The sequence below is a fragment of the Homo sapiens genome, chromosome 7, assembly GCF_000001405.40.
Source record: "Homo sapiens chromosome 7, GRCh38.p14 Primary Assembly".
Classification (NCBI taxonomy): Eukaryota; Metazoa; Chordata; class Mammalia; order Primates; family Hominidae; genus Homo; species Homo sapiens.
The window spans coordinates 15,332,160-15,359,218 of NC_000007.14; the positions used below are offsets into that span (position 1 = coordinate 15,332,160).

The following is a 27,059-nucleotide window of genomic DNA, read 5'->3' on the forward strand; positions in this document are numbered from 1 at the left end:
CTTACAATCGTGTTAAGCCAGTAATACTCTGGAGTTTATCTGCTACAGTAAGTATTGTGGTGTTGACTAATACATACCTGCACTTGACACTGAAACCTTTCTCCCTATCAGGACTCCCCTCCCTGTTGTTAGCCTACTCTGTGCCTGGTTCTGGTACAGCATAGACACTAAATTGCAAGAAATTGAGTTCATCTAAACTGTTAAACGTAACATGGAGACTAAAGGTCTGTCTCGTCTGGAAACTTCATGGAATGAAGCTAAAAGACACCATGTTTTCAGACACTGGGTTCATGTACTTCACATCAACTTTTCTCTGTTCTAATGTACTCATTATATCCTCTAATATATCACCTAATGTTTCCCCATCACTTGCCCAACATGGCTACAGCTTCTGACCCATCCTGACCTGACAACCTGATTTTCCCACTTAGAAGCTGTATGACCCTTGGCAAGTAAAAATATCATGTAAGATTTTCACTGTATATTCTAAGAATAATTAATATGAAATGAGATAAAGTAAATGAAGCGAGAGACCCATGAATGTACCTGGTACTTATCAGGTGCTTAATAAACAGTATTTATTGTTATTCAAAATAAAAATTATTTATCAAAATGGCTTATATTTATTAATAAAATGAAAATATATTTCACCTTTTTAAATACATAATGATATTTAAAATCCTACATTTTCCTATCCTAATACTCTGACAGATATTACAAAATAATATCAGTATATTGCATTATGGTATACATTTCATGATGCTTCCTGGGCATATGAAAGTTAAATGTATCAGTTCCTTTGTTGTGCTTCTCCCTGCCTTAATTTGAAATCTCTCTGGCAACAGAAACTCTTCATAAACTCTAGAAGGAAAAGCATATAGTCCAAGCTTATAACCAGAAAATTGAACTCAACTCTATTTTATCATAATATCCTGCGCTAATGTGATGATACAGCTGACAAAATTTAACAAGCTTGCCAGTATTTATTACAGAGCACCACTTTGTAGCTTGAAATGGATACTCATCCCAGCAGGTGTCAAGACTCAGCAACAATCCACTTTTAAAGTTAAATGCAAAATACACACTGAAATTCTACAGAGAAAACAACTTCCCTTCTTCCCCACACACATGAAAAAGGCTTCGTGTGTACTATTCACTAATAAGGTGCACTTATAAATGAATTGGGAAAATGTTTTTCTGGTCTTAGAAACATCAAAGTCCATTTCATAAGTAAGAAATAAAATGTGACTTTTAACAAAACAAACACCTTGATGATTATTTTTTACCACATTAACAAGGGATTTAGAGTCCTTATGTTTCTTTTGAACTTGGTAGTAAGTTTCACTGTGTTTAGCATGTTGATGTTAAACATGGCCCTGACAAGTGCTAATGTATACCCTTTGGATTACTTGATACTCTCTATAGAGACGAACTACTGAATTTAAAAAAAAAAAAAAAAGAAAGAAAAAAAATAAAAAGAATGTTTCTGCCTTGAGTTCAAACATTCAGTTGTAAATAACATGACAAAACAAAACCACCAATATTTAAAGTGCTTGGAAAAGTATTGATTATGCAAATTATCTTACACTAATCTAGACATCACAATCAGTGATTCCCAACATGACTGCAATAAATATCAAAGAAATGTAGTTACAATAATTGTAGTTTGGTATTTAGTGGTCATTTTCTTTCATAGTATCCCAATTCCTATTGCATGTATTCCTAAAATAATAATTCTTCCAGTGTTCTCAATATATCAGCATTTATGGACTTAATATTTTAAATTTTTATTAAAAGTTACCATAGAATACAAGTAAGTCCAAATGTGAAGGAAGCAATTCAACAATGGAAGAAGTTTATTTTTCACAATACCAAGGGAGGTTCCTGAAGGCAGTAATTCTCTAAATGATGTAAAAAGTAGTTTTACAAGTGCCTATATTTTCTTATTACCTTTGATATGTAAAAAACTCATAACAAAGGCTTTAAAAGTCACAAAAGAAAAGATGTAAAGAGAAAATAAGGATTCACAAAGCAAATTTGAAATGCTAAACATCATATTGAAATGACATATAGAAATGTAAAATCTGAAATCTTTCTGAAGTTTTTAACAACATAAAATTATCAAAAAAGTGTTATTTATAACCTTGGTGAGTTTTTTTTTTTTTTAAATATGCATCTGCTATTTATTTACAATTACAATTATCTGCTTTCAAGTAGTCCTGTCTTTGGGTCATTTAAAAAATTAAGTCGCTTCATTCTATTCTCCTTCTGTGATATCAAAGTGACTAAAACGTAGGTGATTAGAAAACAGCAATCTGTCAAAACTTCAATCCTTTGCTTTTCCCTAGGGCAGTAGATTATTTCTTCATCAGAATATCTGTTAGTTAATACCAAAGGCTTTGCCCAACTTCAAAGCAGAGATATTAAAGGCTCACTTTCCACTACAAGGCAGGTGTATTTTTATTAGCTTTCTCTTTCAAAATTGCTATGACTTCACTTGCGGATATCCCGCCAACAACCATTATTGAAAGCCTTACTATAATTGCTAAGTTACATGCAATGTCTGAAGCACAAAACCAGTGTCACTTACAACCCTCCAACAACTGACTGAAACCAAGTGTTACATCATTAAAGCTGAATTACAACATACCCATGGCGTGTTTTCCATGTGTGCTATATTTTAAACAATAGTAGAGCAAAACCTAGCTATAAATTCACAGATCCCCCATTTGTTCAAACTCATGAACAATAAGAGCTGTCCGAGAGCCTTTACTGGCTCTATTTTAGTCAGAAAAGTCATGCACCAAAATTAAATGTCTGTTTGGATTTTTATTGGAGATGGAAATGCTAGCTTTATGTTGTAAATTTAAACAACCTGCCACAAAGGGAGACTCACATTTGTATGGCTTGGGAAGCCGTATTCATCTCTAATTGCTTATAGTAACACAAATAAACTAATGTAAAGTGTTCCATTTCTTAACTGGTTTCGTGTAAAATAAATCAGCTGAAGTGATGATGGCATGAGTTTTCAGTGGGTTAGGATTAGATTTCTTTTCTTTGATAGAGCTGGATGTGGAATTCATGCATTTAGCTATTGTTAATGAATAGGAAGTTTTCTGTAAATTTATGAAAATTCAAAAAGACATTCATTAATACTGATGAAAGAAAATATTGGCAGCAAACTCATATTACTCTTTTTTGATCTAATTAAGTTCAACCCATTTGAATATTTGGTGATCTAAGTGGAAATATTTCTTCTGTCATAGTGGTATGCAAAGCAATTATAATTACTTTTTTAGAAAGGTCGACAACTTTTTTATTTGGCTTCAGTGATTTTATGGTGCCTAGATTCCACCGGAAAATATTTAGTCACTCGCTTACTTGGATAGAAATCCGTCACCTGGAATAGAAATCATGGTAAACCTGCCAGCATCTTTGTGCAGACAGGCCCTGAAAATATATACTAGCGAAGGCCACTGCCAAATGACTTGTGTCTGGCCAGCACTACCTTTGAAATGTTCTCTGCATACCAGTTACTGTTAAGATTTATTATAGCATGTGTAGATAAATATATTTCAGTTTTCACATCTATAACTTAGATAACACGGTAGCAATGTACACACTACATATTACCTTTCTTCAGTTGTGGTTTCAGTAGCCATTCACAATATTCGGATTTCTCACCAAAATCTAAATGTAGTCTTCGTGTTATTTTAAATAGATCACACTAAACCAAATGTAGGGATTTACCATTGTTTAAAACTAATCCAGAGAGAAATCAGTTTAACTTTGTAATATATCTCCATCATGAGAAACACATCATAGTAAGTGGAAGATCTACTCCAAAACACATTGAAGACCTGGAGCCCTGTAAAAATATATAATAATCTGAAAGCTAACAGGTTGTCCGCTATGTGAGGCTAATTCAACTACTACTATTCCTTCTATTTATTTAAATTCTTGCATTCACCTGCAAACAAAATAACACATACTCCCCCAAAATTTCTACAGGTCATCTCTTCTAACACATTCAATTTCAATTTATAGCACAAATTATGATGGCAAAAGAAATTCATAACATTCACCAAAAAAAAAATTATGCTCTTACCACAAATGTATGTCCACCCAGTTCTTTTGTTTATTTAGAAAATCTCAATGCCAACTAAATCAAAGCAGCTGTACTATTTTAAGGTTTATTTGTTTTCTTTAAATTTGGTGAACACTGTACTTTTCTATAAAATCGGTTGACTCAATATGGCAAAAAAAAAAGAAAAAAAAACACCAGTAACTTTCAGCATACCCACTTGTTATTCTTCATCTTGAATCCCAAAATCAATCTTACTAATTCATGTAGAAGGACTGCTGTTGAATAGAAGATATTTTACACAATTGCGTGTTCCTAGCAAATGATTTTGGGAAATTTCAATTGTCATTTAAATGTGTGCCACCGAATATATTAATCACATTCTTTAGATTGTAGAATATGGGCTGTTATATTCATCAAGTATTTGTAATTCTGCTACTTTGTGTGTTCTGATACATTTTGAGAAAGTCATGGAGAAACTAAACTGTGTTATTTCTAATTTCAACATGGCTAGTCTTAGGTTATAATAATTACATGATTTAAAAAAGCATTTATTAAGTAATTACTTATCAGGCTCTACATAACATATATTTCAGGCAAATCAAGATGGCCTAAATTGTATTTACATTTAGACTATAGAGTAATTTTCTCAAACCACATAAAACCATTTTGACACCTGGTCCTTTTAAAGTTCATGAACTTCAACATCTGAAAACATGTGTGAGATTGTCAAACATTCCAGTGCCCTCCCTGGGGGCACTCAAACGTATGTAACTGTGTATATCACAATATCATCATATGCCATCAAATTTTCTTGAAAGGAAATTCCTGGATCATTTTATCAGGTTAGCAAAATGTCACATCCCTAAATCCGTGGGATAAGGAGCAAGGACTTTTGAATGAGGAAGAAGTTTATATTGCAACTACAGGCTTTCTAAAGTTTGGAGTCAAGCATGACCACTCTTTCTAAATTCCTTTGTATTCAAAAATAAAATGGTGCCAAAGACTGGAATAATGCAGGAAATATGCAAGAAGGAAGGCCTTAAGCCAAGAATTACTTTTTAATAACAGAATATATTTCATAATTATATAATTCATATTCTCAATCATGCCCGAGAAAGAGGGAGACAGTAGGGAAGGGGACAGGCAATGAGAGGAATGACTGGCCATAAAACAGAGGAGGGTCTGGTAGCCTTGCACAACTCAAGGAGACACTTGAAATCAATCCCAGCTACTCAGCTATTTATCTCTGCCTTGCCAGTGATCTTCCCAGCTGAGAAAAGGATTTTGGAGAAAAGGGCAGGTGGGAAAACTGATTAAATCTACCACTACAACACATATGTAGAGAAGAGGTCATTACAATTCTGCCTGGGAAAATGAGAGGGCCAACTGCAACCCACCTGCTCACCCTCAACAATCCTAATGCTTGATAGGAATAGGTTCACGAAATGCAAAGCAGCATCAGTCAAGGGGCAAAAATCTCTGTGGCAGTCTTTGTCCACCTGCTTCTGAGTGCAGCGACTGCTGAGTCTCACCAGCTGTTTCTTACATTTAGCAGATTGCTAACGCTTTTAACCAGGGGCAGATATATTAGGCACCTGGGCTCCACCTTTGCAACTGTGACTAGCAAAAGGAAGCTTCTCTCCAGTGGATTCTTAGCTGCAGCAATTAGCTGAGGAAAGCGATGAAAATCTCCAAGGCAAACATAATAGGTGATCTGGGGTTGTAATTAAGCAGTGACTTTGGACAGCTCCAGGGAAGATGTGACCAAAACTTTATCTCAGGTGGAAAGGAATGTTTTATAAATTACTTTTAGAGTATGTTCATGTATGTGAACAAATGTAATTAATTTTTAGCATCTAGAAACTCCTGAATATGTATATTTTATGTTTTCTCTGTGTAATATTATAATTAAATTTTTTAAGTAAGGTGGAATTCAGATAAAATAAATCATTTTAAAATATACAACTCAGTGGCATTTAGTATATTCATGTTACAAGACCATTACTGCTACCAAGTTGCAAAACATTTTCATCACCTGGAGAAGAAAAGGTGAATTTTTACACATTCATCTGATAGCTGAACATTTAATAGTTATATACATTAATTTTTAACTGTAGAGAAGGACAATATAATTGCATTCTAATCAGTCAAATTATTGTTAAACAAAAAATTTTGCAGATAAGTTTCTGTTTTTGAGATTTGGCATTGTGATGCTCTGATCTTATTTAATTTAAAGTCAACATTTGATAGAAATGTACCTTCATGAGTCTTCCATAGGTACAAATTTCCTCTTTCCCCAGTGCAGTCTCTGTTCAGGTACTGGGAGACCTAGCACTGCTATAGTTCCTAAAAACTGAAACAACTTTAAGACTAATAAAATATATATAATATTTCTAAAGATTTATCACTGTGCAAAGGGAGGAAGGGCTGAAGGGCTATATACAGCTAGTTGAATTTACTCCCAAAATTGTCATTCCACTTCTACTAGTCATTTAACCTCTTGTAACTACTGGCCACTTTTCTTCCTCTGGAAAAGGGTGCTCTAATCTTGCAGCATTTCAATGTTACCTTCAGTTTACATGCTTCACTCATCAAAATAAAAACTACCCAGTGTCTTTATATGTTTAACTGTAAAATAAGCATTTACACCTTAAACAATGTGGACAGTAGAAGGTTGGTTGGCAAGTGGGGAGCAGCCTCAATTCTCCAGATACATTTTTATACCTAGCTAAACAGTAGAAACACATGGAAAGTTTGTGTCTAAAGATCTTGGGTATTGGAATCAGCATCTTATAATTTCTCCAGGTTACTGTAGTAGCGGAACTGCAAGCTATGGAAACCACTGCTCTTCTATAGCTCTTTCTAGCAACAGCCATCAACTACCAGACTAACCATGAATAAGTCCTACAAGAGAGATGGGAGAAAGAGGGAGAAGTATCCCAGATCATGAGTACTAGTTGATCAATTCATGCTGAGGGGCCTGCAAAAATATCTACAGGGCCAGAATTCACCACACAAAGCCCTGACATGGAAGACAAAGTTTGTGTAAAATCATACTTATTACTATTTACAGAATTAGATATCCAAATGGAATGCTGTCATTTTTTTAATTTGAAGACATGATTGTAATTAACACTGAGTTATTTGAGGATAAGTACACTTTAATTTAAATACTTCTGCATATACAGTGTGATTATGCATATAATTATATCTAACAAAATCCAAACATAATTTTAGAGGATGTTCAGCTGGAATTATGTCAGAAGAGTCTGCTCCAAACTTTGTCAATTTGCAACATTATATGTCAGAAATGAGTTTCCATTATTGAAAAATAGGGCTTGCTGCATTTTATGCAGAATGTCAGGGCAGTCCCATTGAAGAAATTAAATGTATTAAAGTTATATAGACTGTTTACAGTATCTTTCCCATCCCTGTATGAAAATGATGTAAAAATCTAGGGACACCAATATCCCTTTATCCTTAAAGAAAATACCTTAGGCAAAAATCCCCCCAAAAGTTCCTGTGTTCAGCTACCATTAATCCAATGAAGTTAGTTAATGAAAGCATGATATTTCTAAAAGCAATTTTTTAAATCAAGTATCAATCGTAATTTTTAGCCCTATTCTTCAGAAATTGCTATGTTCATTATTAATATTTAGCTAAGGGTAAACAATGTTACATTTATAATTCAGCCCATAAGTTATTGGATATCAACAAGTGACTGTGACTGAGGCATAGATGGAAGGAGCATAGCACAGATACAAGTACAAGTTGAGTATTCCTTATCCAAGTTGCTTGAGACTAGAAGTGCTTAGAAGTTTCCGATTTTTTTGGATTTGGAATATCTGCATATGCACAATAAGGTATCTTGAGGATGGAACCCAAGCCTAAACTCAAAATTCATTTATGCTATATACACGTTATACACATAGCCTGAAGGTAATTTTATTTTTCCTTGGAAAGGCTGAATAAATTGCACGTTACACACCTGCAGTTTGACTGTGACCCATCACATGTCACATGAGGCCAGGTGTGGAATTTTCTAGTTGTGGTATCATATCAGTACTCAAAGTTTTAGATTTTGGAGTATGTCAGATTTTGAATTTTTGACTTAGGGATGCTCAACCTAATTACTTTTAAGACTTCAGGTCGGCTCTTTAGAGGTGCCAGAGACAATCTTACTACATAACAAATTTTGGGCTTCATAAACTCCTGTCACAGGCCAGGAGGCCTCGGGGGGAACAATGGTTTCCTGGGCTGGATCCAGTACCCTCCTGCTGTGTGCAGCCTCAGCACTTGGTGCCCTGTGTCCCAGCCACTCCAGCTGTGGCTAAAAGGGGCCAAGATACCACTCAGGCAATGGCTTCAGAGGGTGCCAGCCCCAAGCCTTGGCAGCTCCATGTGGTGTTGGTCCTATGGGTGTGCAGAAGACAAGAATTGAGATTTGGGAACCTCCACCTAGATTTCAGAGGATATATAAAAACACCTGGTTGTCCAGGCAGAGGTGTGCTGCAGGGGTGGAGCCCTCATGGAAAACCTCTGCTAGGGCAGTGCAGAAGGGAAATGTGGGGTTGGTGCCCCCACACAGAGTCCCCACTGGGCACTGCCTAGTGGAGCTGTGAGAAGAGGGCCACCGTTCTCGAGACCGCAGAATGGTAGATTCACTGACAGCTTGCACCATATGCCTGAAAAAGCCACAGGCAATGCCAGCCAATGAAAGCAGCTAGGAGGGGTGCTGTACCCTGTAAAACCAAAGGGGTGGAGCTGCCCAAGACCACGGGAATCCACCTCTAGCATCAGAGTAACCTGGATATGAGACATGGAGTCAAAGGAAATCATTTCAGAGCTTGAAGGTCTTTGACATGTCCTGGAGACATTTTCCCCTTGTCTTGGTGATTAACATTTGGCTCCTTGTTACTTATGCAAATTTCTGCAGCCTGCTTGAAATTTCTCTCCAGAAAATGGATTTCTTTTCTACTGCATCATTAGGCTGCAAATTTTCCAAATTTTTATGCTCTGTCACCTCCTGAATGCTTTGCTACTTAGAAATTTCTCCCACCAGATACCTTAAATCATTTCTCTGAAGTTCAAATTTCCACAGATCTCTAGGGCAGGGGCAAAATGCCACCAGTCCTTTTGCTAAAGCATTACAAGAGTCACCTTTGCTCCAGTTCCCAAGAAGTTCCTCATCTCTATCTGAGACCATCTCAGCCTAGACTTTATTGTCCATATCACTATCAGCATTTTGGTCAAGGACATTCAACAAGTCTCTAGGAAGTTCCAAAGTTTCCCACATCTTTCTGTCTTCTTCTGGGCCCTCCAAACTGTTCCAAGCTTTGCCTGTTACACAGTTCCAAAGGTCCTTCCACATTTTCAGGTACTTTTACAGCAGCACACCACTACCCAGTACCAATTTACTATATTAGTCCATTATTATGCTGCTAATAAAAACATACCTGAGAGAGTGGGTAATTTATAAAGGAACAAGGTTTAATGGACTCACAGTTGCACATGACTGGGGAGGCCTCACAATCATGGCAGAAGGCAAAGGAGGAGCAAAGGCATGTCTTTCAAGGCAGCTAGCAAGAGGGTGTGTGCAGGGGAACTGACCTTTATAAAACCATCAGATCTCGTGAGACATATTCACTATCATGAGAACAGCATGGGAAAATCTGCTCTATGATTCAATTATCTCTCACCGAGTCCCTCCCATGGCACGTAGGGATAATGGGAGTTACAATTCAAGATGAGATTTGGGTGGAGACACAGCCAAAGCATATCTGTATCTCGCCATGAATGCTCACTTTGCTTTTAAGTCTTCTGCCTAGGTCACAGGCTGAATCATAGGATGCATTTAGAAAGCATTTAAACTCATGTGACTGGGTGAATTGCCTCCAGTAAGCTGAGAGTAGATACCCACAGAGTTAAAAAAAAAAAAAAAAAAAAAAAAGGACTAAGTCCTGAAGCACTAAGAGACTTAGAGATTGGGAAGAAAAGAAGTCTCTAGCAGCTGAGAAAGCCATGGTCAGCAAGGGAGGAGTAAAACCTGCAAGTGTGCAATGCTGTGAAGACCAGAAAACAAAGGAGGGAAAGGTCAAAATTGCTGCTCCAAAATTAAATTGAAATGAATTCATAAGTGTCTTCCAAATTCTTCTCTACCTAAGCAAAGTATGTTCATCTTTAAAATCCGGTGCTAATGACTTCATTGGTAAACTCCCCACCCATCCCAACCATCCCTTTTCCCTCCCATTAGTCAAAACCAGGTTTACTAGTATATTGAGAGAAAGGCTTTATATTCAACCTCATCATATCATTTTCTTCAAGGTTTTAGCCAGGTTCCTCAATAAAAATGTTCAGAATGGAAATATCTTGACTAACAGATTTCGGCTTTCTCTCCTGATTTTGCGCGCGTGTGTGTGTGTAAAAGCTTGTTTCATTAAATACATATTTAGAAAAGGAACTGTCATCTCATTAATTTTCTGATCAACATAGTCAAGGCTTTTGTTCTTTATGTGGGAGTACAGTATAGCTGCAAAAAAAAAAAAAAAAAAAAAAAAAATTGATCTGAATTCTACCTCTACAACTTATGACTATATGACATTGGATAAGTTCATTAATTCTCTGGGCCTCAATATCCTCATTTGAGAAGTGTGGTTAATAATAGGTACTAAAAGGCTTCTCTGTGAGGAGTAAATGAAAATGTATACTTAGAATGGAGCAGACTCTTGATAGTAGGTACTAGTGTCATTCCCTTTTATGAATGTTTTTTTCTGACAGTATCTGAAAAGGTACCTAATATTATACAAGTGGAAAACCTTAAGAAAATTTATACTTTTATATTTTCCTATAGCAATAATTGGAATCTAAAATTTATATGATATTCAGATTCTGAAGACATCGTGTTCAATTGTATATTGGTGTGATAACATATCTCCCCACTCGCCACTGTAAAATGATCAATTCTTTTTATTATGCCCCTTTAATGACAGAATGTAGTAATATCTTTAATAGAAAATTATCTTTCTGCCAATGAGTTTACCTCTCTATTCACCCTTATTTTAACTCAAGCTTTCAATATCTTGCGGAAATAATTATAGACAACATTGTGTCAAATATTTAACTCATTTTTTATCCCACTACCAAGATGCCTCTAAGTGATACGAAATATAAGGCAGACAGCCCCAAATCTTAGGATTAAGAGATTTTAGAATGAAAGGGGCTGGAGAAACAGTTAAAAGATTTTTTAGTACATACAGGTTTACTTTTTGGCATCTATAATATCTTAGTCTTTCAGGACTTATTACTATCAGGTATAGAAATATAATTTGAAAGATCAAATTACAAGAGTAACATCAAAATTCTGAATCACATCCACAGCTTGTTACCAACCTCTTTGCTTCATCTCACCGCTGTTTTATCTGTATATTCTTGAAAATGACATGAGCTTTGTGGTTTCAGCTTACATTTTGCTGTAATATTAACCACAAGCCTCTAATAAAATTGTATTTGGTGTTAGTGTCTACCTTTCAAAAGTGATTTTGAATCACAGAAAGGGAAGCAGAGAGATTCATTTATTACCTAGTATTGAAATAACGGACAAAACTTGCCTTTCTTGTAGTATGTCTTAAGCAAGCATAGTTTAAAAGTTGACATTTATACTCATTCTCTCATGTACACAAGGAAAATGAGATTTAGAAAACAATAATAATATTTTCCTTTAACTATCCATAAAACTAACTGGAAGACATTAGCTATCATTTTATTTTTACAGATTTTGGAACTTAAAAATAGACACTTGTCAGACATGGGGATTGATATAAATTAAAATGTAAAATTCCAAGTTTGAGAGTAAATCAAGAATTTCTTGATTACTCATTTAGAAAATGATGCATATTTTTGGTAACTGATATACCTGAAGCATCTAAACAATGTATGGCACATAGAAGGCACTCAACAATATTTGTTGAATGAATAAGTTGCATAAATATGTAATTACAATATTTATGTACCAATTTCTTTAAAAATGTTTAGTCTTTTCTCCAAAAAGCTAAAGCAACACTTACTGAGGTGCCAACGCAGCTTATTTTCCAACAGGACTAATTGTTTTCAATGTAGATCTGATCTTCATAGTAAAAACATTTTATAATTTAAAACTTAAAATCTGGATGCTAGGCCAGGTATTGTAGCTCACTCCTGTAATGCCAGCACTTTGGGAGGCCGAGGCAGATGGACTGCTTGAGATCAGGAGTTCAAGATAAGCCTGGGCAACATGACAAACCCGTTTCTACCAAAAATACAAAAATTAGCCAGGCATCCTGGTGCACGCCTGTGGTCCCAGCCACTCAGGAGGCTAAAGTGTAAGGATTGCTGGAGCTTGGGAAGTTGAGGCTGCAGTGAGTCGTGATGGTACCACTGCACTCCAGCCTGGGTGACAGAGCAAGATCCTGTCTCAAAGCAAACAAAAAACCCAAAAACACGTGGATGCAGATTTTCTTTGCTCTCAAGAGAAGACTTTTCCATTAGAAATATGGTAGATGCACTTGAGTAGTGTGATGCGTTTTCATCAGTTGAATATATCCCTAAACTTAAATAAAACATCTGTCAACATTTTATCTGAATGCGTTACCTTACTCTATCACATCAGTTAGATTTATCTCCCTGTGGAGACTGTTGTTTTCTTGAGATGCAAAGAATGAGAACAATTATCCTAAATCTTTCAGTTTTCTGGTTCTATGGCTCTATCCTTACAGTGACTGTCCTCGTTCAAGCCACTGTCACATCTTTCCATGTTTACTAAAATATATTTTAATAGGTTTTCCTGTATTATACCTACCTCCACCAATTTCTTCTTTACAAAACACAAAAATGCAAATCTAATCAAATGGTTTCTATGCTTAAAATTCTTCAATTGCATCAGTAGTATGGCCTGAGAACAAAATCCCAAGCTCAAGTGCACTGTATACCCATCAGTTTCTGATATTATTCTTAGTAATTTTTCTAGTTTTTTTCTCTTGCTGTTCTTCCCATTTTATGGAACACTCCAGCCATAAGGAACGATTTTCAGTTCCCCAACATGGTAAGCAATTTCTCACCTCCTGGCCTAAGACCAAGCTTGGTCTGGATGCCCTCCCTCATACCCTTCAGTTGTGAAAGCAGCATGGTGAACTCACACTCAAGATACAAATCATCACCTCAGGAAATCTTATCACATGCCACAGCTGGATTATTTATGTTTCCCTTCTAAGTTCTTTTGGAGTGTGCTGTGCATAACATTGACATAGCATTTTTCAAACTCTACTGTAATTACTATTTTATTTGATCCTCCAGATTCTTAAAGACTGGGAAAATGTCTAATTTGCTACATTCCCAATATCTATCTTGGTACTTGGTACTGATGTTGTTGTTAGCAGTTTTTAAATATTTACCATGTACCCTAAGTTCTTTATACACAGAATTTCATTTAATTGTTACAACAATCCTAAGGAGTCAACATTATTATCTGCAGAAAGCTTGATAACTTACTTATCTATATTCACCCATCTGATAAATCTCAAAGCCAGGACCTCAATTTGTATGAGTCCTGACCCTCTATTCCTCATTACTACAATAACAATTCCCTTACAAAATTGGTACTTAATTTTTTTTTGAGTATGTGAGTAATGGCTGGATCTATTAATCCAAGTGAGGGAAATGAAACATCAATGTTTTAATTCCAATATATTAACTCTTATTAAAAACGTTAGTACAATTATTGATCAATATAGCTGAACATTTTCCTTTTAAAGCAAAGAGATAGTCATTGAAGTATATTCTGCTGTTAGTATCAAGAAAATGCTGATTCCCGCTTGGTTGGTATAGCCAAAAATTCTGTTAAATTCAGATAAGTTTTGCCATATAAAAGCTATGCTTTTCAAACTGGAAACAGGCATCTCAAACTGCATATACAGTATGTTAACTTTCAATCAGCAATGTAAACAATGTAATATAAGCATTACATGGACTCTACATTAAGATAAACCAAACCACTTTTGCTAAGACAGATGTAATCACTCAAATTCCATTGGGAAAGAGGTAACAGCATTATTTGGTCTAGTCCCGAGTACTTTATTTAGTAAATAACTTGGGCTTTGTAGATTTGTTTTTTCATGACACCTACTTCCAACATTTAAACTAATAGTGTTTCACGTGTTTTGTGCTTAGGATTTAATTGTAAAACAGGCCATTATTTAATCTTTTTTCATTAGGATGTTTTTAATTGATATTTATTTTCATTAATCCTTCTTAAATAATACGATATAAAAGCAACACTGTATTGTCACTCTTCTTTATATTTCAAGCCTCCTAATTTTTGTATCATAAATCTTAAAAAGTAAAAAAAAAAAATACCATAAAGAAGTTATACTCAGAAATATCCAACCATTTTATTTTAATCAAGATGCTCATTTTAAGTGTTATTCAAGAGCTAAATCCAAAAATCAACTTGACCCTAAGTAATATATGGCTTTGGAAAACATTTTAGTGCAGAATATAAGCAAAAAAACAAGTTGTCTGAATTGAACTGTATCTTATTATTATGATTTTAAAATTAGAACTTGTTTAAATTAGTAGTAAGTAACTATTTTGTATATCTAAATTTATATTTTATGTATATTTATTTCTCATTCATTCATGGAAAAACGACTCTTTGGAGTGTAAATATAGGCTCCTTTTTTAAGTATGTACTACATTAAGATGAATCAAACTTTAAATGATTCTGTGAAAAGTTCTCTTCTATATCCATTTGAATATAAGTAGGTACTACATTAAGGTGAATGTAGGTACTACATTAAAATGAATCAAACTTTAAATGACTCTGTGAAACATTCTCTTCTCTATCCATTTTCCTGTATTGCAATTCTTCTCCCCAGAGGATTCCAATGTTACTGTCTTTTTGTATAATTCCTGTTCAATTGTATGCACGTACAACCGTATATACATACATAGATTAAAGGACCTAGATCTATTTCCTGGCTCTTCACTAACCGTGTAACTGGCCAACAAACTTAACCTCTTAAAGGCAGAGCACATTTGTGAATTGTAAATGCCAAACTAGATAATTAGGTTTCTCCCACTTATAAAATAGCACAACTGATGAAAGCTGACAACAGCTCCATTTATTTTCATCTGATGTTTAAACATGCTTCTTTAATCCATGATAGAAAGTTAGTTATTTACCTCTATGTCTGAAAGCCACAGGGATTTATGATCTTATCTGTCTCCTCTATATGTCTATCCTACTTGATGTCTTATAGCTTAAAATAATTAAAACCTCGCCTAGAAGATAATTCATGACTCAAAAACATCCTCAGTCCGAACTCACTGATTTCCCAAAAAAAATGTGGGCGCAGTGTGGCCAGATCTTTGAATTTTTCAAGAGAAACCACTAATCCAAGTTCTTAAAATCTCCTGATTAAAAAATGTTGGTAAACTATAAAATTTTAATTTTAAAATAAATAGCTCTGTGCAGATCAAGCAAAGTATAGACAAGTGTTGTATTTAGCTTATGACTCCTGAGAGTTTCAGTCTAGAACCTGCTGACTGATAAGGAACTAAATTAAATACAGTCTGTATAAATACTTTATTAAATACAGTATCATCACCTTGACACAAGATAGAGGATACTGATGGGAGACTAGCCCTATCTTTATGTCAAAAGCAACTGCTTATAACTTTTCTTGACTTTACTCTTACTAAATATAGTTTACTCAGCTCTTGATCTCAAAGACATTTTCCTGAAGTTAACTGTTACTTTTTGTGACTTTTGATCTTCCAGGGTAACTTGGATGTTTATCATGTTATTGCCCCTTTATATTAATGGTAATATTGTATCAGAGATGGAAAGAACACAGAATCCCTATTGACATGTAATCCAAAAGGAACAGTTTAGCACAGTCTCATGTTCTCCCAAAGGTCCATATCCTAATGAGTCAACTCCAACTCCAAAGGACACCTGAACTCATTCATCTGTATCCTCTGTCTTGGGAGAAACCCTCATCAATATACATCAATATAGTGCTAAAGTCAAACACATACTACTTAAAATGATCCTGGCCGGAGATAAGCAAGTGAAATTGCATTGAATGATCGATGAAACTGTTTAGGCATCAATAGGAAAAAAGAAGCCAGAAAAATGCTATTACCAGAAAAAAATGATTTCAGGATCAAATGAAAGAAAGTTGTATGAAGACAGTAACACAAATTTGAAAATCTTAAGTAAAATTAAATGCCTTGGAATATCCATTATAATTATTCAGCAACATTTCTTCTCAAATTTGTATTTTTCTTCTTTCTATAGCTTTGGCTAATTTCTTTCCATTTCTGCTTTGTAACACTCGTGTATCTGTGCAGTCAGAGAATCTACTTTTTTAAGGCTGTTTTTACTAGAAATAAATATGAGTATAGCATCACTCTGTTTTTCACTTGAAGGTTTTTCTATGGAATAATGGAATAAGCCAGAGCTAGATGCTCCATTGCAGGTTGAATTAAGTCCACTATTTTGGTTGGTTTAACAGTAAATGAAAATCACATGCAAAAATTACCCATAGCCTTCAGCAATCATCTGAAGAATATTTAGCAAACTGAAAAAAAAATTGCACCGTGATTTCTACATAGTGTCACTAATAAAAAAGTAGAAAATAGAACCTCAAAGTTCTTCTAAATTAGCTGCCTAATGCATTTTGATTAAACACTTCCACATGCTTATTATAAACCACTAATGTGATTCACATTGTGACTTATTTCTATGAGTGACACCTCAATGATTTATAAGTAACACTTTATGAGTACAACATGGAAGGAATATATACCTTTGGAGGCCTTTACTAGAGGCACATGGACAATAATCATCTTGCTAAATGTTCTATATACAGGCCTATCATCAGTTCTTGGCACAAGGACTCTCAGAAAACCTTCTTTAACACCTGTTGTCATTTACATTAAAGATAACTGGCTTTGGTATTTCAATATCCAACATTCTCCCACTAACAGATTTGTCCCAGGCTCCCTAACGATCTGAGTTCATTTTAACTTATCTGGAACCACTGTGAGTGCCATCCTTGCCAGAAGGTTTATAGCAAGCAAAATGTTTTGTCTACTTTGATTATTCATTTTTTTAGATTGACTTTATAGGTTGAAAGGGCATGGTGGTGATTACATGCAGACACAGTTAAATTCTTGCAAAGTAGAATTAGATTCACTATTCCCTCCGTTTTGTTTCTATGTTCTCAAACACCATATACCAAAAAATCTCATAGACCCAATACCTACCTCATTTCTCACAGGTTCCTAGAAATCCTATTCTTCTCAGTGAATTAATATACAAATGGTGTATTAGCCTATTCTCATGCTGCTATGAAGAAAAATACTCAAGACTGGGTAATTTATAAAGAAAAGAGGTTTAATTGACTCACAGTTCTGCATGGCTGTGGAGGCCTCAGGAAACTTATAATCATGGCAGAAGGCATCTCTTCACAGGGTGACAGAAGAAAAGAATGGGTGTCAAGTGAAGTGGGGAAAACCCCTTTTAAAACCATCAGGTCTGGTGAGAACTCACTATCATGAGAACAAGATGGGAGTAACCTCCCCCAGTGATTGAATTACCTCTTACTGGGTCCCCTCCTATGACATGGGGGGATTATGGGAACTAAAATTCAGGATGAGACTTGGGTGGGGACACAGCCAAATCATATCAAATGTGAACAAATGGTAACTATTTAATATTTTTTATATCCCACATCCAATATGGAATCTTAAACACTGATTATTCTCTTGATTTCACAAATCATGAAACTGAGAATTAAGTGGCTTTCCTCACAATGTTAATTCATAATAACTGTGTTTCTGGAACCTGGGTCCAGTTTTTTCTCCATTTCATCATAGTAATTTAAATACTTGTTCAAGGATAGACCAATCCAGTGTCAGATAGTGTCATAGACAAACACCAAGCATGAAGGATATTATTATACCTTCTTGTGCTGTACATTAAATCAAATAAAATTATGTATAAATATTGAGTTTTGGTAAATATTCAGCAAATATAAAATCAGTTAACATAAAAGCATAAATTGTATAAAAAATCCACATTAGGTTTTAATCTGTATCCATCAATGTCCTTGGAGTATGTAAGCATGAGAGATGATGATGCCACTTAAATAGCAAAGTTATTAGAGGTAGATAAGAGTTTTAAGCAGTAATTCTCTGGTAGCTAGCTGCTTTTCTCTTATATTTAGAGAGCTTACAGTCACACCTGATACCTAGGAAGAAAACTCACATTGAGAGTCAGAGAGAGTAGATTTCTGTTTTCTCCCAAGTGAGAATGTTTCAACTGTTCATGGGTTCAATAAAAAAGAGCTGGAATTTGTTCCTAGATCTGAACGCATTTAGGGAAAGCTGGCATGAGGGATATTTTACCTCAGAGAAAAGGAATGAACAAATTAGTCAACTTTTCCTTTCTGTGACAATTTGATCATAGGGAAGTAAATTCCAGAATATTGTTAAAGGCTGTGTATAGTTTCATTATTTTATCTTAATAAAAGGAAGTTTGGCTTACCAATAATGTGCTGAGCATATGGAGAACATTGAGAAGAATAAATGAGGCATTATTTTGGAGAGACAGTAATTAAACATTGTTCAGTGTTGTTTCTCCTTGCTCTTCTTGTTGTTGGTATGTGTTACTCTGCCCAACAAGTTATTAGGCAAAAAATGCTTTTTAAGAAAATTTAGCTCACTGTGGGCATGCATGAGATAGTAGGCATTCTAAGCAGCTAATTTTTTCAGCCAAAGTTATCAGATGGCTAAGAAAATTGCAGTATAGTTTAGGTATAGTTGATAAGAAGGTTGAATTTACTTAGTTATAGCAGGTAGTAATCTTCATTCTAGAAACTAAACAATTCATGGGCAAATGTCTGCATAATGGGAAAGGGTCCTCATGAAAATGCAAATTTAAACTTATCTCTATTGTTTTTACATATGTAGATAACATCAGAGGAGCAAAAACAAAATCTCCCCGGCTCACTTCTCCGCCATTATGTAAGTAGAAATTGCAAGACTTGAAAGAGATATAACATATACTTAAAATACCATTTTGATTACAGAAGAGGTAGTTCAGGAAGCTAAACCCCTATATTTAACAGTGATTCTCAGGGGTGAGGAGAATTTGATAGCATTTCTTAAAGGCATGAGTGATTAGTAATAAAAATGTGCATGTAAAATTGCCTCTGATTTTTAGCCAGCAGAAGAAAAAAGCAGACATCTAGGAAGGATATCATGTGCGTATCATGTACATCGTATCTTGTAAAAAAGAAAGTCTAAATACTTGGAAGTGCCAGGTGACAATCCAGATAGCTGAGTTGTTACCATGCTTTTCAATTTGGCTTTAGGAAAATAATGACATGTTCATGCAATAGCAGCTACTACATTTTAAGTGGACACATAAATAAAAATAAATTTATAGCAGCTTATCAAATGCAATTCTTTTTAAAAATAACAAAGTATACGGCTAGAGATAAAAACAGTAAGCAAACATATTATGCAAATTATTTTTAAATCTGTTTAAATGAATCATTGAGAAAGTGTTAAAATACAAAGATGAATAGCACTATGGATTATGAATCATGTGGAATATTTATTGTTACACAGTAACATATGAATTCGGTAATATTGACCTAATAAAGCCCAGATAGCATTTACATTAGAATCTGCAAATAAATAGCTTGTTAATTCACATTATCTTCAGAAAATGGGTTTGATTTCTATTAACCTTGACTCTTGTCAAGCAGTTAATATGACAGAAGAAATAACAAATGCTCTTTTACCATTAAGCTATAGCAAGAAGACCTCTATTTCCAGTATTTAGAACCATTTCACGGACTGTTAGGGGAATCGAAAGATCACCCCGCCATAGATCTTCAGTTTGCTCATTATGGATGAAATAAATATACAATCCAAATTTAACTTCACTTTCAAAGGCATATAAGATGGCCTCCCTACTTGTCCTGCCTATTTAAAAAATTTTTATGACGGTAAATAAACCCTGGAAAATTCCTTCTCAGATTTTACCGCCTGAAACTGCAGCTGTTGGCTGCCACTATCACAGTCTCACAACTACAAACTCACGTGCAAACCTCATCAAGGGCAGACATTTCTAATTGATTCCAGAAGTATGTTTTTTTTTTTTTTTCCTTAGATCAGGGTGCAAAGGAAGAATAATGAGCAGCTTTTCAGAGGGAACTGGGCGTTTGGGTGTTCAGGGGAGGGGGTGGTGCTTTTAAAATCTCAGGCTTGGCCAGAAATGCGTGGCAATTTTACGGTCAATTGGCGGGAGCATCTGGAACCAGACATTCTGGCCTTGAGTTGATGGTAGGGAAACCAGCTTACAGGCAACAGCAAGCCCATAATGAGTCCCTGTCATGTACTAGTGGAAACCACGTTGACGGTCTGCCAAATATCCATGCGCCTTTTTCTCAGCGACAGGATTCTCCTTAGAGCCATTATCTAGTATCTGAAATCTGTCCACTTACAGATCTTCACCTGTTTTCGCTATTAAAGACAATGCAAAAACAAAAGCTAAAAATTAGAACGTGTATGTGTTTAATTCCTTGTGTGCTGACATGGCTCTATATCATAAGATTGTGTTTACTTTCATTTGGGGCATATATTTCAAACGCAGCGGCCATCTTGTTACTGCATGGGGAGTGTCGGATGCGCAGGTCATAAATCATAGCACTGCGCACGGCACACTCAGACGAAAGGAGGTGAAACGCAGGCCCTTTGTTATTTCAAATGTAGGACAGGTGATTATTTTTAAAAAGGTGGGAAGGGGGCAGGGTTCTTTTTTAAATGTCCAGCAGAAAACCAAGGGTGGAAATAACTTCTTAGGAGTAAATGATGTTTACTTTAAGCTGCTGCTCGTAATTCACCACGCTGACGTTGGTAGATTACATCCACGAATAAGTCATGTAATAATAGGACAGCCATGAAAAATGTAGAGATGTGTCAACAGGGTGGAAACTGGTTCCTTGGTGAAGAACAAGCCATGCAGAAAGCTGGATTTCTAACATTCTCAAATCTCTTTTTATCCAAACAATCTAATTAATGGGGATTGTATTCATGTTATAACTCACTCAAAATTCCTAGGCTTATGATGTTAAACTAAATTCAACATGTTTGCTCTTAGTTGATCTACTCTTGGGGGGAATCCCTGCCTGTTTTCAGACCAAAGTAAAACAAGCACAAAAGCAAGACTAAATGAAACAAAACTACTCAACTAAAAGAAAAAAGAAATGTATTTAAAATACTTTTTTAAAAAACTCAGTATTTTTTGGACGTGAAATTTTTCCGAAAACACCTATGTTCTGATGATTGCAGTATGTGTGAATCAGAAATATATATTAGTGTTGCTCAAAATAGACATAATATTAAAATACATTAAACTGACAGTGAACAAATAGTAGAAAATGACATCTACTTGAACAAAGTATTATTTGCAAAAGCAACTGCACTTGTTGGATGCCTGTGTTGGTACTTTAAAAATAACAGCATATGGGAGAAGGGACAGGTGAGTAAGAATATAAGCTATATTTGTGTCTTTTAATTGCCTTAATAAAGATGATGCATAGAAAACTATCATGTATTATTCTCTTAGGTGTGGATTCAGTATTTTAAAAACCCATACAAAGCCAATACATTTTGGAAAATTTCATGTGATAGTTTGCAATTTACTGTGTCAAAACTAGTCTTTTATAAAGCAGAGAAGCAATACTATGTTCTAATATTGCTTAATTTTACTTCCAAGTATTTTGTTGTTCATGGAAAGAAAAAGTGACCATTTTTAGAAGGAATACAGGAAGAGGACAATGTTTTTTTAAAGGAGACCACAAATAAATCACCCCAAATGGCTTATTTTCACCTTCAACTTAGCCCCACAACTCAGTCCATCAGTTATTTTCTATGTACCATTACAGAACAGTAAAAAATGTGTACATGATAGATGTATATCACGAATGAGATAAATATATATACGTGTATACACGCGTGTATATACGTACGCGTGTATATACACGCGTGTATATAGACGTGTGTATATAGACGTGTGTATACACGTGTGTGTATACACGTGTGTGTACACACGTGTGTGTATACACACACGTGTGTGTATACACACGTGTGTGTATACACACGTGTGTGTATACACACGTGTGTATATACACACGTGTATATATATATATATATATATATATATATATATATATATATATAGCTCCCCTCATAGGACCTGCAACAGTAAACATTTGTTAATTGCATGTGATGGAATGATACATCTTGAGAAAGACTATACCCTTATATTCTAAAAATATTCATAAGGGTGGTAAGTGAAAGAAAACAATTTTTTAAGTGGCGGGATACTCAAATTGAGTTAGAAGTTAAGAAAGAAGAAGAAATGCAAAGCTTTATTATATTAACACAAAAATATCAAAGAGGATCTGCTAATAACCCCAGTGTTTACGTTTTACGCTATTCCCTGAATTTTTTCTCGTAATTCACGAGAATTTGTTTTCTAAAAATAAAAATATATTATATCCTATAAAATATATTCTCATATGTTACATAAAGGTAATTTTCAAATATGTTAATTTATAGCATATAAAAGGGATACAATCTGGGACTATGCTAGGATGAAGTGGCTTATGCTCACTTATACATGGCTAATGAACAGGTAAAATGATAAATATTTGGCCTATTGAAGAGAAGATTCCTGCACTCACTAACATAGTACCATGGACATAGATTTTCCAATGTTTCAGAAATTTTGATATGATGTAGGGTGAATTTGGGATTAATTTTAAATGTGAGTATCCTCCCCTATACAAGAATAGAGAAAAATCATCATCTGTGCACTTAAAATTAAAACAGTAAATCTTGCTAAAGAAGCCAATATTGGCTGGGCACGGTGGCTCACGTCTATAATTCCAGCACTATGGGAGGCCGAGACGGGCGGATCACAAGGTCAGGAGATCGAGACCATCCTGGCTAACACGGTGAAACGCTGTCTCTACTAAAAATACAAAAAAATTAGCCAAGCATGGTGGCGGATGCCTGTAGTCCCAGCTACTCGGGAGGCTGAGGAAGGAGAACAGCGTGAACCTGGGAGGTGGAGCTTGCAGTGAGCCCAGATCATGCCACTGCACACTCCAGCCTGGACAACTGAGTGAGACTCTGTCTCAAAAAAAAAAAAAAAAAAAAGAAGGTAAGATCATGGAATTAATTCAAATTATGTATTAGCTTAATATTTTTGCATAATTATAGCCTGTATTCATAACCCTCCCCAGGAGTTGTACAAATGGAAACTGGTTGTTAGAGGAGGAATTGTAGCTGGATATATCAGCACTATATGGAAAAAATTGATGTCTATCTGAATTAATAATAATGGATGGTATAATAGTACCATCTTCATACATAAAGGGGAGTATTGTATTATATGGAATTATTCTGTGGAAATAAAAACCATTTGCGTGCAGTCCAGGGGTGATGAGACAAACTACAACCTGGGAGAAGATACTTTCAATAAACATAAATGACAAAGGACTGATATTATAATCATACACAGAATTTCTAAAAATCAAGAAAAAGAAAACAATGGGTAAAAGGTACAAAAAAATCACAGAAAAGGAAACACAAATTCCTTCAAACATAATGATCCACCCACTTCAATAGTAAACAGAAAATAGTAATTAGAAATACAATCAGATACTACTTAATTTCCCAAATGGACAATAGGTTAGAAATCTGACAATTACAACTTCGGTGAGGAAAGGTCCACTGATAGAAGGACATTTTATAATCACTTGGAAAACAACTTGGCATCAGCTAAAGAATTTAAACAAGCACATTTGCTACAATCCAGCAATTCCCATCTAGATGTATAAACTAGAGAAACTCTACATACATGCAATGTGCACTAGATGTGTAGATGAATTTTTATTGCAGCATTGCAATAGAAAAAAATAGAAACAAACACTAGAGAATAGACAGATATGTATAGTCAACAGTGAACCAATTTACAGGAATAGAAATGGATACAAGTACAGGCAACAAAAAGAATACATTTTAAAAATAAACATTTTTGCAGAAATTTTATATAGCATAGGAAACTATATATAAGAAACCATATATAGTATATAAGATACCATTTTATTGTACTCACAAATTTTAAAAAATGAAATAATATATTGCTTAATGATACCTTGAAGAAAATCTGAAAAATTAAAATCATGGAAATGATAAGCACAAAGTACAAAATAACTGTTCTATCTGTGGAAATATGAGTGGTATCACACAGACAGCAGATAATACAGTGTTATTAATACTTGACTGGTATTATATAATTTTATTTAGAATGGTGTTTATTTTATCTTTTATAAAAATGTATCTAATTTAATATCTCTCAAATGCTATATGAAAAAATGTGATTAAAAATATTAAATAAAACTAATATAGCTACTACTTATAAATGCAAACTTTGTACACTTTATAAAAATATTAGGGCCCGGTTGCAGTGGCTCAAGCCTGTAATCCCAGCACTTTGGGAGGCCGAGACAGGCAGGTCACCTGAAGTCAGGTGTTCGAGACCAGCCTGGCCAACATGGCGAAATCCCCTCTCTACTAAAATTACAAAAAAAAAAAAAAAAAAAAATTAGCCAGGTGTGGTGGCAGGTACCTGTAATCCCAGCTACTCAGGAGGCTGAGGCAGGAGAATCGCTTAAACCTGGGAGGCGGAGGATGCAGTGAGCCAAGATTGCACCATTGCACAGAAGCGAGACTCTGTCTCATGAAAAAAAAAAAGAAAAAAATAGACATTTGGATAATACTGAAATAGATGAGTCAAAATTGCTCTATACTATGAATATTCGTGTGTGTGTGTGTGTGTGTGTGTGTGTGTGTGTGTGTTTCACCTTGAACCCAAAAGTACGTATATAGCAGACTAGCATACTTACCATGAAACATTGTTGAGGACAGTCTATTCCTTACATTCATCTTGTAGCCAGATAAACAGTTGAAATGACTCATTTAGGATGACTTCAGACAAACATTCTGTGATGACAATACACTAACCACCACCGTGAGATGAACCCAAGTAATAAATAAAACCTCAGCGTGGTAGACGGATAAAAGGCCATAAATTTATGTGTGCCCTTTTGCAATTGATCTTACTGCTCTTCAAATCAAAAGAGTTTATTTCCCCACCCTTTGATTTTCGGCTGGTCTGATAATTTGTTTGACCAATGGAATGTAGCAGAAATATATAGAGTCTCTGAGCCTAGGCTTCAAGAAGCCTTGCAAATGCAGTCTTCAGCCTTGCAGATTTTGCAACTGCAATGTACAGAACTTGGCCTGGCCCACTAGAGGGTGAGAGGCTATGCGGACAGAAAACAGTGCGCTCCCTTGACAGCCAGAGAGAAGTCTTTCCACATTCGCTTTTATCTGAGCTGATTATGTGGAATACTGCTGAATGAGTAGGCCCAGGTGAACGCAGCAGAGAAAACACCACAGAAATTGTGAGAAATAATAAATCTTCATTTGCTTTAAGCCATTAAGTTTTGGCTTGGTCATGCAAAAACAGATAAATGCCAAGGAAGCCTGAATTTTACCAAATAAACACATATATACATACCAAAGAAAAGAAAGGAAGAGAAAAAAAGCAAGACAGGAAAAGGAAGAACCCATGAAAGTATGAAGTTTGCTAAGAACTGTTGAATCTTCCTTCATTATCTGATACATATATGTTGACATATTAACTGGGTAAAACGAGACATCTGAATATGCATCCCTTGCATTTTGAAGTCAATGAACATTTAATTCACCATTCTATTTAAGAGTTGAAATTACAACGTGTTCTTCTGAAGTTTGGCATGTAACAGCTACATAGCAGGAATTGTCAGTGCACATTTAATATTTATTGAATAGATCAATAAAAATTGAAGAGTCTTAAGGTTGCTGCTTTGAGTATTGGTTTCTTCTGCACATAAAATGGCTGAGGCAGCAAATTGTTAACCTTGGGTTAATGCTTTTTCAAAAGAGCTGCCCAGACGAGATGATAACGTGGAAAGGATAATAAGAAGGCATAATAATTAGATTGCAGAGTTGGAAGACAAGTAGGGTGTTTCCTAAAGGGTGAGATACGTACTAATTAATGTTGGTACTCCGTGATTTCAGTCAGAACTGTGAATTAGGAGGGTAAGAATCCCTCCAGGGATTCCCTTCTTAGATGCAGGTGGGATTTTCTGCACTCCAAACTCAGTCCCTCCCCAAGATAAAAAGACCTTAAACTTCCACTCTCCTGAGCTTAGCAGGGACTTCTGAACCATTGAGAAGGAAGCAACCCAAACCCACTCCTAGATAACTCAAATTCATGTATTCTCTGACATTAACAGCAACTCCCAGAACATGTCTTTGTGGTAAATCTCTGTCACCCAATGCCAGCAAGAGAAGGACAAGGAAGCGCCTCTCTGAGTTTTAGGTCTGTTCTACCTGTCTTAATTTTGCTTGCTTTGCCTTTATTCCTTGAAGTATTGGGGATGATGACCTAAATGTAACATTTTTAAAATAAAGCAGGGGTTGGGATGGAAATGATAGAAGCGATTTTAACAATGGCATTAAGATAAATATCCCCATATTACTGGATGATCCTATTCAATGCCATTTTTATAAGGATTTTATTTTCAGATATGGAGTTTTATAAATTAATTAGATTTAATCCCAGCACTTTGGGAGGCCAAGACAGGCGGATCATGAGGTCAGGAGATTGAGACCATCCTGGCTAACATGGTGAAACCCCGTCTCCACTAAAAATACACAAAATTAGCTGGGCATGGTGGCAGGAACCTGTAGTCCCAGCTACTCGGGAGGCTGAGGCAGGAGAAATGCATGAACCCAGGAG

General features: G+C 35.3%; 1 protein-coding gene across 7 annotated transcripts in view; it reads right to left on the minus strand.

Annotated features, from left to right (window-relative positions):
- AGMO (alkylglycerol monooxygenase) overlaps window positions 1-27,059 on the minus strand; it is a 444,793-nt gene that overhangs the window by 214,937 nt on the left and 202,797 nt on the right. Inside the window, exon 13 of one of the 7 annotated variants that reach the window (XM_047420364.1) lies at window positions 24,086-24,943. The exons of the other annotated variants lie outside the window; for them this stretch is intronic. Coding sequence (XP_047276320.1) covers window positions 24,791-24,943 — 153 coding nt within the window. The 3' untranslated portion in view covers window positions 24,086-24,790. Of the gene's footprint in view, window positions 1-24,085; window positions 24,944-27,059 lie in introns of those variants that run through there. 7 annotated transcript variants of the gene reach the window in all.